At 38.8% G+C, this 12,186-nt stretch overlaps 1 protein-coding gene across 48 annotated transcripts in view, besides 1 other annotated feature; it reads left to right on the top strand.

Annotated features, from left to right (window-relative positions):
• SYNE1 (spectrin repeat containing nuclear envelope protein 1) overlaps positions 1-12,186 on the top strand; it is a 515,676-nt gene that overhangs the window by 412,142 nt on the left and 91,348 nt on the right. For all 48 annotated transcript variants that reach the window (XM_047418508.1, XM_017010610.2, XM_017010609.2 and 45 more), the window contains 7 exons: positions 557-727; positions 3,662-3,795; positions 4,175-4,379; positions 6,036-6,218; positions 6,818-6,964; positions 10,161-10,315; positions 11,462-11,609. In XM_047418508.1, coding sequence (XP_047274464.1) covers positions 557-727; positions 3,662-3,795; positions 4,175-4,379; positions 6,036-6,218; positions 6,818-6,964; positions 10,161-10,315; positions 11,462-11,609 — 1,143 coding nt within the window. The remainder of the gene's footprint in view (positions 1-556; positions 728-3,661; positions 3,796-4,174; positions 4,380-6,035; positions 6,219-6,817; positions 6,965-10,160; positions 10,316-11,461; positions 11,610-12,186) is intronic.
• Positions 2,885-4,084: an enhancer, noted in NCBI's record as "MED14-independent group 3 enhancer chr6:152542272-152543471 (GRCh37/hg19 assembly coordinates)". NCBI's record gives its function as "activates an origin of replication core promoter dependent on BRD2, BRD4, P300/CBP and CDK7 cofactors, and independent of MED14, by STARR-seq in HCT116 cells {active_cell/tissue: HCT116}" and the evidence as "EXISTENCE:reporter gene assay evidence [ECO:0000049][PMID:35650434]".

Raw genomic sequence — 12,186 nt, 5'->3', positions numbered from 1 at the left:
GGACCTGACTACCTGTATTCAAATTGAAATTTCTCACATTCTAGCAGTATAATCTTGGGTAATTTTCATTACCTCTTAGTGTCTCAGTTTCCTCATCTATAAAATGGGGATAATGATCATACCTATCTCATAAGGTGTTGTGAGGATTAAATGAGTTAATGCATTTGAAACACTCATTTAATACAATTCTTAAACTGTTTTATTAAAAGTATCAACCTCTTATAACTTAAAAATATATATACATATATGTATATATATATACACATATATATGTGTATACATATGTATATATGTATATATATACATATATATATATATTTATCAGTTACCCTTTTAAGCATTTCCACTTAGAACTGAGTGTTTAAAGTGTGGAAGGCATAAATTTCAAAGTTGATACATTTTACCTTTTAAATCTTTTTCTTTTTAGTTTTGTTTGTTTATGATACCTGAAACCCTGATGAAGTTCTTAGATGTTAATATTTTCCCATCAATTGAATATATATTCCATCATTCTAGATATTATGAAATTATAAGCCATATTTGTCTTTTTCAAAAGGTTGGACAATTAAAGATACTGCTGAAATCAGTGCTTGACCAATGGAGTAGTCACAAAGTGGCCTTTGACAAGATAAACAGTTACCTCATGGAGGCCAGATACTCTCTTTCCCGATTCCGTCTGCTGACTGGCTCCTTAGAAGCTGTGCAAGTTCAGGTGGACAATCTTCAGGTAAGGAATTAATTTAACACATCCTTAACGTTCATTTTAATTTTAGAAAACTGAAAAATTACCAAATGGAGACATCATCCTGAAATATTGCCATATGTTGTTTACGTTTAATTATTTTTTAAGATCTTTAAAATTAATTTTACCTGTGTTATTGTTACTTGAGCAAACTTGCCTGTGTGTGCCAAATTCTGGATTAGCTGGTATATAACTAAATGGTTTCCAAGATCCTGTTGTAAAAAAATATTCACATCGTCTTTTATACAATGATTTTATGCCCAACTGAACCTCCTTGATTCATTGTCACTGCCTTTTGTCTTCCTTTTCTCTTCTTATCTGCATCTCCAAACATATTCTAAGGAATGTTCAAAAGAAAACACAGAGAAAAACGGCAAAAGTGGTAAATGTTTAAACCATTCAGTTGCTTCCATTCAGTAAAATATCAGTGGCCTATCCAGCGTGTCCACAGAATCTTCCTTTCTAGCACTTACTGCTTGGTTTCCTGTGGGTCCTTTGTCATTGTGTCCATGTAAAATGATATCCCTGATGTTTGTCTTCAACATAGCACTCTCTCCTGTCTCAGGTCACCGCCCTCAAATTCCTGCTGCCCCCACTCTCCTGTGCACCGGGCCACTCTCACCTGTCACTGCTCTTTCTTCTTGGCTAAAGAACACAGACTATGGGATGGGCAGGGCAGGCCCCTAAGGGATGGGAGGCCAACAAGAGACCAGCATGTGCCCTGCTAATATCTAGTCCGCCTCCCTGGCCAGCCAATCAAAGCTTCTATGTTGCTGACCTCAGATGCAGCCTGCCTTCCTCTCCTCCCCTCTTCTCCCCTCCCTTCCCCTCTCCTTCCCTCCCCTCCCCTCCTTCCTTTTTGAGACAGAGTCTCGCTCTGTCGCCCAGACTGGAGTGCAGTGGTGCTATCTCGGCTCACTGCAACCTCCGCCTCCCGGGTTTAAGCAATTCTCTGCCTCAGCCTCCTGAGTAGCTGGGATTACGGCATGTGCCTCCATGCCTGGCTAATTTTTGTATTTTTAGTAGAGATGGAGTTTCACCATCTTGGCCAGGCTGGTCTTGAACTCCTGACCTCATGATCCACATGCCTCAGCCTCCCAAAGTGCTGGGATTACAGGCATGAGCCACCATGCCCGGCCGACTTTCTTAAGGAAATATTTTTTTTAGGGTAGGGTGGAAGAGAGGAAGGACAAATTTGTCTATATAATTTCTTAACCCTTAAATTGTCGTTACTAAGGATCACGAAAACTTCTTCTGAGGATAGTAAATTTAAAAGCACATCTTATAACTTTGAGGAGGTTAGAAATGCTTTTTAATTTAATATATGTTATGTTTAATACTTGCAAGAGCTGTCTTAAGACATGAAAGGATTAAGGGTCTTTTCCTTGACTGTTTTCATTTGAGGGTAATCAGATATTGGTGTTAAACAGTACTCGATTTTTGTAGCCTACTTCACCTGTGGAGTTTTATGAAGAACTGAGTCTGTCACCTCAGCACTATTTCCAGAGAAACAACTTTCTTTCAGTTCCCTTACTGGTCCTTGGTAGCAGACTATTTAGATAGGCTTGGTAGAAGATGCCAAACCTGTCTGATAAATATTCTTTGCTTTAAGCAATCTTGACATATACAGTGCATTATTATTAATTATAGTCTCCATTCTGTACGGTGGATCACTAAAGCTTATCCCTCCTGTGTAGCTGAAACTATGTTCCTTTTGATCAACATCTTTCTTTTCCCCATCTAATCCCTTATCCCATGCCCTGGTAACTACCATTCTACTCTCTACTTCTATGAGTTCAACTTTGCTAGACAAAAATGGATAAGTATGTGAGGTAATGATATGTTAATTATCTTAATTTATTCATTCCACAATGTAAACATATATCAAAACATCATATAGTACCCTACAAATACATACAATTATTATTTGTCAATTGAAAATCATTTTTTTAAGTTAAAAATAATTCTTGGCAAGGAAGAACACCCAGAGATAAAGCTTGGCAAAGCTGTGCCTTCTTAGAGTCTTCATCTTCGGGAGTTTGTGGTAGAAGCACTGCGGGTATGTAACAAAATAGAGACCTGGCTTTGGCTTTGAGTGTCAAAGAGATCCACAGTTTGGCAGATAGCACGTTACATAACACCATTGCCATGGCTTTGTTAGAAACAAGAGCTTGGGGTAGCAAGGAAAATGAGCACTTAAAGGATTTCTCAGCAAGGCAAATTTACTTCTGCAGGAGGGTGCCACTCACACTTCTGGCTGCTGCAAGAGCACACTGAACAAAGGAGAGAAGGAGTTTTTATCCCTAACGCAGTCCCTATCCCTGCATCCTTCCCCTGTTGGCTAGGGTTGGACCACTCAATCTAAACTGACCTCAGTTGGCTAAGACTTAAACTTTTCCAATTAGGGTAAATATGTGATTCTCAAGGGAGGGAGGGGTAGGAGTGGTCCCTGTGTTACAGCACAAGGCAAGTTTGGACATGTCTGGGCAAGTCAGGACACAACAAGAGCAGGAGGGCTGCTCACAGGCCAGAAACAAGAAAGTACAAGGAGGTGAGGCCTCTGAACCAAGGACAAGGACATTACACAATTAAACCCTTTGAAGAGGAATTTACCATCTCTGGCAGCTTCCTACCAGACAATGGACAAGGGCACCCTATGTGAGTTTTTCAGCAGAATGCAAATGCCAATAGAAGAAGGCTTCATTGCTCAGAACCTCTTCTCATAGCCAAAATAACAAAATCCTACAAAAGAGAATAAATGATTATCTAAAGAAAGCTGATAAAGCATTGGTGCTAAGTCATGCCTGGTTTATACAAGTATATGTACATATTTATGAAAACATATACAAATTCCTTTTAAACTTGCTTATTAGAATTTAGATCCTGTTATGTCATCTATGGGTCTTTTTTTTGGGGCAGAATCTCCAAGATGATCTGGAAAAACAGGAAAGGAGCTTACAGAAATTTGGCTCTATCACCAACCAATTATTAAAAGAGTGTCACCCACCCGTGACAGAAACTCTTACCAATACACTGAAAGAAGTCAACATGAGGTATGGAGTATGTTAACTTTACACACTATTTATATCACAGCCTTATTATAAATAATGATATAATTAAAACAATGACAGTTTGAATTTGAGCTATATAGATTCTATTCCTTTAAACTTCTCTTTCACAACATGAATTTAAGGATAAATAAATGTAGTGAAGAGATTTAGAAAGAATTAGAAGTACTGTACACCCAAAGATTGCCATCATCCTCATTACCTACCCTGAAACTAGGAATATGAAACATTAATTTTTATTATGTTAACTAGAAATGATTATGTCTATATTCACATGAACCAGGATCATGAAAAATAAAATAGCACATATCCACATTTGGTGAGAGGTGGTAATCTGCTCATGAGTGTTGGTTATTATTTCCAGATGGAATAACTTGCTGGAAGAGATTGCTGAGCAGCTACAGTCCAGCAAGGCCCTACTTCAGCTTTGGCAAAGATACAAGGACTACTCCAAACAGTGTGCTTCGACAGTTCAGCAGCAGGAGGATCGAACCAATGAGCTGTTGAAGGCAGCCACAAACAAGGACATTGCCGATGATGAGGTTGCCACATGGATTCAAGATTGCAACGTATGTTCAGGAGCTACCTTGTTTTCCCCACATGCCCTTCTTAGACTGCCCAAGTTTAGCTTTTGGTCTGTGTAAGCTTTGGTATGTCTTTCTATGTGAGACAGTTACCCAAAAATAACTGTCTTAGGATCAAAGAGCCTGCCTGATTTTCAGAACACAGGTGCACATGCATCAGACTAAGAGGTCTCCTCCCATTGTTTTATTTTTTAAAATGAGTTGTTTTCCCATTTTTCCTAGTGGAATTTAGTCAATGTGAAAGATTGAGGCTCTTTGTGTTTTCTAGGGTGGTCAATATAAGACATGACCATATGGGGAATAGTGTTCTATCTTTAAAAAATCTTCTGTTCCAGATGTTGTCCATTTACATTCATTAACTCCTATGTAAGCATCTACACAATAGTTTCATCTAAGATATTAATGGTAGAAAGAAGTCTTTCTCTCCTAATTTACTGGTATACTTCTTTTAATGGCTTTTTAATAATTCTCTTTTTCACTGTAGCTGCCAATAACCTACTTAAGGGTTTAAGGAACAGCTCTTCTCTTGTTTCAAGCATTACATGGCTCTTACTATTTGTCCTTATTTGTCTTTATTTTTAAGAGCTTGTTACGAGGATCTTTTTATAAACTTTTCCAAATCAGTTTATTAGAATTAGGCAAGCTATAAAAACTATGTAAATAAAAGTTTAACCTATTCTAATATCTTCAACCTGAATAATCACTTTAAAGCTAAAGATGGGTATTTTAAAATAAAGATAATACAGTGCTTTTTTCATCCACATAATTTGTGTGTACAAGAACTGTCATTTTCAATACTCCTGAATTGAAATACACCTTGTCTGTTATCTGTGTCAAGCGTAAAGAGCCCTTTGTTCTTCTTTCTCTCACAGAAGTCACTGCCTAGGCATAACATGACTGAGTGGGATACCAGCAACAGGTAGAAGAAGCAGTCACTTATTATCTCTCAATGATAGGATAGAAAGCAGAAACAGGGAGTTTCCATTGGCTTATATTTTTTAACCTGTAGGAGGGTCCCACAGAAAGTGGAGGCAAAGAGATCCCATGGAAAAGAATGGGAATACAGGCTACTCTCACCCCCTGCTCACCAAAATCATCACTGTGTTCTGTACCCTACTGAGATAGGAGGTTGCTGTACTTGCAATAATGTGACCACACATATAGAAGACACCACGGACAAATTCCTGGTGTGTATGATAATAATAGAAAAAGGAAAAATATAACATTTTGTTTTCAATTTGATACAAATTACATAAAGAGGCAGGAAAAAAACTGCCAAAATATTTCCAGTTATTGGCTCTACTCTTGGGTCATGTTTGTTTTTTTTTTTTTTCTTGTTTATGTATGTTTTTCTGCATTTCCCCAAGGTCCTGTAATGAACCTACATAGCTTTTACTAACAAAAGAGTAATTATATATAGCCATAGGTTATATGTGTATAATGTATGTTTAAAATATTAACATAGCATTTTAAAAAATGGGGTTCAGTGCGTGTTCATTTTTCCACAGGTGAAGTTTATTTAGCCTAATAATATGATCCGTAGGAATGGTGTGTTTCTACATGTGTAGCCCTTTGCCGATTGCTGTTTATGATAAGGAGTATCAACATGCTTCAGAGTGGGCATATTTTCACCTCTTCTAGGACCTCCTCAAAGGACTGGGCACAGTTAAAGATTCCCTCTTTTTTCTCCATGAGCTGGGAGAGCAACTGAAGCAACAAGTGGATGCTTCCGCAGCATCAGCTATTCAATCGGATCAACTCTCTTTGAGTCAACACTTGTGTGCCCTGGAGCAAGCTCTCTGCAAACAGCAGACTTCATTACAGGTACAGAGCTCCTATTTAGTATCTTCTGTATATTGGCTGTTCTCTAATATCTGGGCACAAACACAGAAAAAGAATTCCTTGTCATGGCAACAATGCCTCCTTCAAGACTCAAGAAAATAGCAAGTAAACAAACTTGGAAGTTCTGGTGGGGACGATGAAGGTGGACGTTTTGCGCTGTTCTCTGCCAAGGAATTTTAAAATCGGTTTAAGATGCAAGCCCCTGAACCAATGCCTGCCACCATGGCCTGTTCAATTAATAAACACTAAGCGGCTTTAATATAAATATTCGTGTTTATTTAACTCAGACTTTTACAAGAATCAGAAGATTTTTCAGACGTGTTGTTTGATCATGTATTTAAAGAATAATTTGAATTGTTATTGACTTATGGTGCATAGAAATAATTATAGTTTTTAGAAAAATTACATAAAGAAGATTTAAATTGTTATAGCTTTTTTTATAGGAACGTCTAGAGAATGGCAATTTGATACAAGAATATGAAAAATAATTTTAATATCCACTTGCCCTTTTACCAGACTTTATTAAAATACCAATTTTTTTTTTTTTAACTGAAATACCAATTTCTTTTGTGGAAAAAAAGGCTGGAGTTCTTGATTATGAAACCTTTGCCAAGAGTTTAGAAGCTTTGGAGGCCTGGATAGTGGAAGCTGAAGAAATACTACAAGGGCAGGACCCTAGCCACTCATCTGACCTCTCCACAATCCAGGAAAGGATGGAAGAACTTAAGGTAAGTGTGTTCAAATCTGAGTCCCAGATCTTTTACCATCTGTCTTCAAAAATCTTTTTTTTTTTGAGATGGAGTCTCACTCTGTCGCCCAAGCTGGAGTGCCGTGGTGTGATCTCGGCTCACTGCAACCTCTGCTTTCCGGGTTCAAGCGATTCTGCCTCATCCTCCCGAGTAGCTAGGATTATAGGGGCACGCCACCACTCCTGGCTAGTTTTTGTATTTTTAGTAGAGACGAGGTTTCACTGGTCTTGAACTGATCACCCGAGGTCAGGCCTCCCAAAATGCTGGAATTACAGGAATGAGCAACCACACCCAGCCCTGTTTTCAAAATCTTAAGTGAAACTCAAAGCTGATGTAGACCCACTCTTTCTTTCGAGTGAGCCCCCAGTGAGACTTTCTCTGGCAAACAGTAGACTGTGTGCTGGCAGTGGGCACAGGCTGATTTCCCAGCTCACTCCTGGAAGCCACCTCACTCCTCCCTCTTTCCACCGCTGGAAACCACCTCACTCCTCCTTTCCACGGCTGGTCCCTCTCCATGTTCCTGTACCCAGTCCATCACCTCTCTATTAACTTTTGAACCTCTCGTCTCTGTTTCTAACATCATCTACTCCTAGCTCAATCTACTCCTATCTCTCTGAGACCCTACAGCCGCCTCCCACAGATCTGCATCCATTCACCCAACCTCCCCTCCTCCTGGCTGTCAGAATGACCTTTTTTGTTCTTTTTAAGGGTTTTACTTAATTAGCTTGATTTAATCATTCCACATTGTGTGAAAACATCATATCATACTCCATAAATATATACGATTATAATTTGTCCATCAAAAATAATTTAATAATTTTTTTTTCTTTTTTTTTTTTTGTGACGGAGTCTTGCTTTGTCGCCCAGGCTGGAGTGCAGTGGTGCAATCTCGGCTCACTGCAAGCTCTCCCTCCCAGGTTCACGCCATTCTCTTGCCTCAGCCTCCCGAGTAGTTAGGACTGCAGGTACTGTCCACCACGCCTGGCTAATTTTTTTTGTATTTTTAGTAGAGACGGGGTTTCATCATGTTAGCCAGGATGGTCTCAATCTCCTGACCTTGTGATCTGCCCGCCTCAGCCTCCCAAAGTGCTGGGATTACAGGCCTAATGTAATACTTTTTTAAAAAAAAAAAAAAAAAAAGGTTTTACTTAGTTGTGAATTTTTTTTTTTTTTGAGATAGAGTCTTGCTCTATTGCGCAGGCTGGAGTGCAGTGGCACGATCTCGGCTCACTGCAACCCCTGCCTCCCAGTTTCAAGCAATTCTCCTGCCTCAGCCTCCCAAATAGCTGGGACTACAGGCATGTGCCACCATGCCCTGCTAATTTTTGTATTTTTAGTAGAGATGGAGAGGGGGGTGGTTCACTATGTTGGCCAGGCTGGTCTCGAACTCCTGACCTTGTGATCCGCCCTCCTTGGCCTCCCAAAGCACTGGGATTACAGGCATGAGCCACTGTGCCCTGCCAATTGTGAATGATTTTAAATATTCAATCAAGTAAGCAAAATAATTCAACAGGCATGAAAATTTTATTGTATTATTCCCTTGGTTAAAGCTCTCAAGGTTTCCCACTGCTCTTAGGGAAAAGACCATGTGGCTTCTCAAGGCGGCATCCTGGTTCCACCTTTCCTGAGGATCTTATTCTGTTGCACCATAGCCACTCTCTCCCTCCAGCCACTCCCGTGCCACTGTGCCCGTGATATTTCCTCTCTCTGGATTTGTTTTCTTGTCCTCGTCAGCTCACTCCTCACTAAAAAGAGTAAAGTCCTGGTCATTTTGTTCAATGTCACTCTCTTAGGAAAGTCTCCACTGTCTGTCCAGGACCAGGCCCCCCAGTGACACATTTTCATAGCACACTATTGTTTTTCTTCCATGCTCTATCATGTCATTTAATTACATTCCTGTGAGTAGGGGACTACTGTTGCACTTTTGACTACTAGAATAGTATCTTATTCCCTGTAAGTGCCACGAGGGGAAGGACTGTGTCATGGCTATTTTGTTCATTGCTGATGTCTACCCATGGACATTATGCCATTTAACAGTTATATTTTGGTTTCAATATTTGAGATTTATTCTTTCTTCAAAAAACATGAGTCTTTTGCAGAACATGCAAAGAGAAGACACACACATAGCCAAAGGTGGCCTGACATTTTTTCTTTCCTGTAACCAATTTCCTAGATGGAGATAAGGATACCCATGGGAAAATCAGAACCGACAACATTGTCCTGTGTTTGAAGGGAGGGAAGAGATCCAAAAGAATAGATTGCTCTTTTGATTGAGTCTCACCAGCTGTGGGGTGGCGGGTCAGAGACCTAAAACTGGAGCTCTTAAAATGTGTGGTCACTTCATAGCTCAAGTGAAATCTTATTTTCTCTAGCAAGAACCCAAGGAGGTTCGTTTACCCTCTTCCATTTACTAGCTGGCTGGCCTGGAGCAATTTACTTAGTTTCTGTGCCTCCCTTTCCTCCCTTGTAAAGAGAGAATAGCAGCATGACTTATCTTATGTGATCGTTTTGAGGATAAAATGAGTTCTTACTTGTAAAGCTCTTGTCAGTGCTTGATTCATAGTAAGTGCTCAATAAACGTTAGCTATCACTGTTATAACTTTTGTTAGTTGTGAATAATAAAGGAGGAAATTAGCATGAACAAATTAAACGTAAATGGTAAGAAGTAAGGTCTTTTACTTATCAGCATAATTTTCATCCTTAATCAGTTCTGTCAAGAATTGCCTATGAGTAAATAAATCAAGTAAATAATATAATACTTGTAATATAATTACATATGAGTAAATCAAGTAAATAGTATATGTAATATAATACACGTAATAAAAATCAAGTAAATAATATAATACGTGTAAATAAAGTAAATAATATATTTGTATGTATAAACCATACAAGTAAATAATATATCAAGTAAATAACAGAATACACGTTAAGTAGTCCATAAAGGATAATGAGTAGCTTGAGTAGCAATAGCAGCAGCAGCAGCAGTTTAGACTGAAAAGTAGATTTGGCTTTTCGCTATTCGTACCTAGAGATTGTAAGTAAGTGGCCTAGAAATGCAGAGGCCACTAGACCGAAGACCAGCTACTTCCTGAAATCAGAAATTCACTGCGCACTTTGAAAAAGTTTTGACTTTTTTGACCATGGTGCTAAACCTACTTTTAAATCTTCCTTCTAGGGACAGATGTTAAAATTCAGCAGCATGGCTCCAGATTTAGACCGTCTAAATGAGCTTGGATATAGGTTACCCTTGAATGATAAGGAAATCAAAAGAATGCAGAATCTGAACCGCCATTGGTCTCTGATCTCCTCTCAGACTACAGAAAGATTCAGGTAGAGTAAACAAGAGATGTCTTGGTTGCTCCAGTTGTCTTAGTCTGGTTTGTGCCGCTATGTCAAAATACTACAGAATGCATAATTTATAAAGAACAGAAATGTTGAACAGTCTCACAGTTCTGGAGACTGGGAAGTCCGCAGTCAAGGTGCTAGCAGATTCAGTTGTCTGGTGAGGGCTGCTCTCTGCTTTCAAGAGGGCAGGTTTTGCTGCATCCTCAGGAGGGGAGAGTTGCTGTGTCCTCACACAGTGGAAGGCAGAAGGACAACAGTGCTGAACGCTGTGTGAATCTTCTTTTAAAAGACCCTTAATCCCATTGACAAAGGAGGAGTCCTCATGGCCTAATCACCGTGTAAAGGCTCTGCCTCAGAATACTACCAACATTCACCACGAAGTTTCATCACCTGAATTATGGAAGGGATACATTCACACCATAGCACCAATGTATCAATAGAATATAAGCTCATGACTTGTGTATGTTTATAAATTCTGATCTTTCCCATAACACTGACAAAATTTGAACTAAAAGTGGGAAATTCAAATTGTAAAGTCGTTTCTCATGTTTAGTGTACTAAATAGCACTTTAATCAGAAAACTCTTTTAAGTGAGAATATATTAAAAGTATATACATAATTTTTATCATTTTAAAAGAGGTACATTTTAAACTTCTACATTTTTTCAACTTTCTTTCTTCTTTTTTTTTTTTTTTTTGAGACGGAGTTTCATTCTTGTCACCCAGGCTGGAGTGCAAAGGCACAATCTCGGCTCACTGCAATGTTGGGTTCAAGCAATTCTCCTGTCTCAGCATCCCAAGTAGCTGGGATTACAGTCACACACCACCACACCCGGCTAATTTTTGTATTTTTAGTAGAGATGGGGTTTCACCATGTTGACCAGGCTGGTCTACAACTCCTGACCTCAGGTGATCTGTCCACCTCAGTCTCCCAAAGTGTTGGGATTACAGGCGTGAGCCACTGCAACTGGCCTCTTTCTTCTTTTTTAAAATAATTTTACCACCTGACATGAAAGCTTTGTGGTGGTTCAATTAGAATTGAGCACAGAGATTATTTAATCTAGTTTTATATGCTAGAGAAGTAAGAATAAGCAGTGAAATAACCATTGTTCCTTGCCCTTTGTTCTTTCAGCAAGTTGCAGTCATTTTTGCTACAACATCAGACTTTCTTGGAAAAATGTGAAACATGGATGGAATTCCTAGTTCAGACAGAACAAAAGTTAGCAGTAGAGATTTCAGGAAATTATCAGCACCTTTTGGAACAGCAGAGAGCACACGAGGTAAGTTGTATCAGTAGATTTGGGGGTAATAAGAAATTTTTAGGCCCTTAGAAGATGCTACGAAATGCTGTGTGGGAGAATTAAAATCATGCCCTTTGCACGAGTGTCTAAATGCATGCATCATTTTGCCTTCTTTCTTAAGCTTGAGGTTTTGATAACTTAATTATAAAAATGTAGTCCTATTCGCTGCTCCATGATTGTTTATAAGCACGTGTCAATCTTCAGTTCCTTGTAAAGTATAATGCCAGAATTGTGGTTAAAGGCTACTTACTCGAGACAGGCAAAGTTGGTGGAACGTGTATAGATAGTTAGACAATTTTCAAACTGGGTTAGAGACTACTTTAATATGCCAAGGACAATTGCTTAAGAGACTATGCTTTGATCAAAAGTCTTTAAAAATTTTGTGATCTTCAAAGAGCGTATATGAATTTTATACCAGGAAATCAATCTATCAAATGTCTCCAGGTGTACCTCTTGATTAAATTGCATTATAATTATTTCTTAAGAAACAAAGAGGGAGAAGAACTATATACACAAAGTAAATTAATAAATTTGCCCACTGTTAATCCTTATGTTG

This window comes from Homo sapiens, chromosome 6, assembly GCF_000001405.40.
Source record: "Homo sapiens chromosome 6, GRCh38.p14 Primary Assembly".
NCBI lineage: Eukaryota > Metazoa > Chordata > Mammalia > Primates > Hominidae > Homo > Homo sapiens.
Note: the sequence above shows the minus strand (reverse complement) of the source record. Positions and strands in the feature narration are given on the sequence as shown.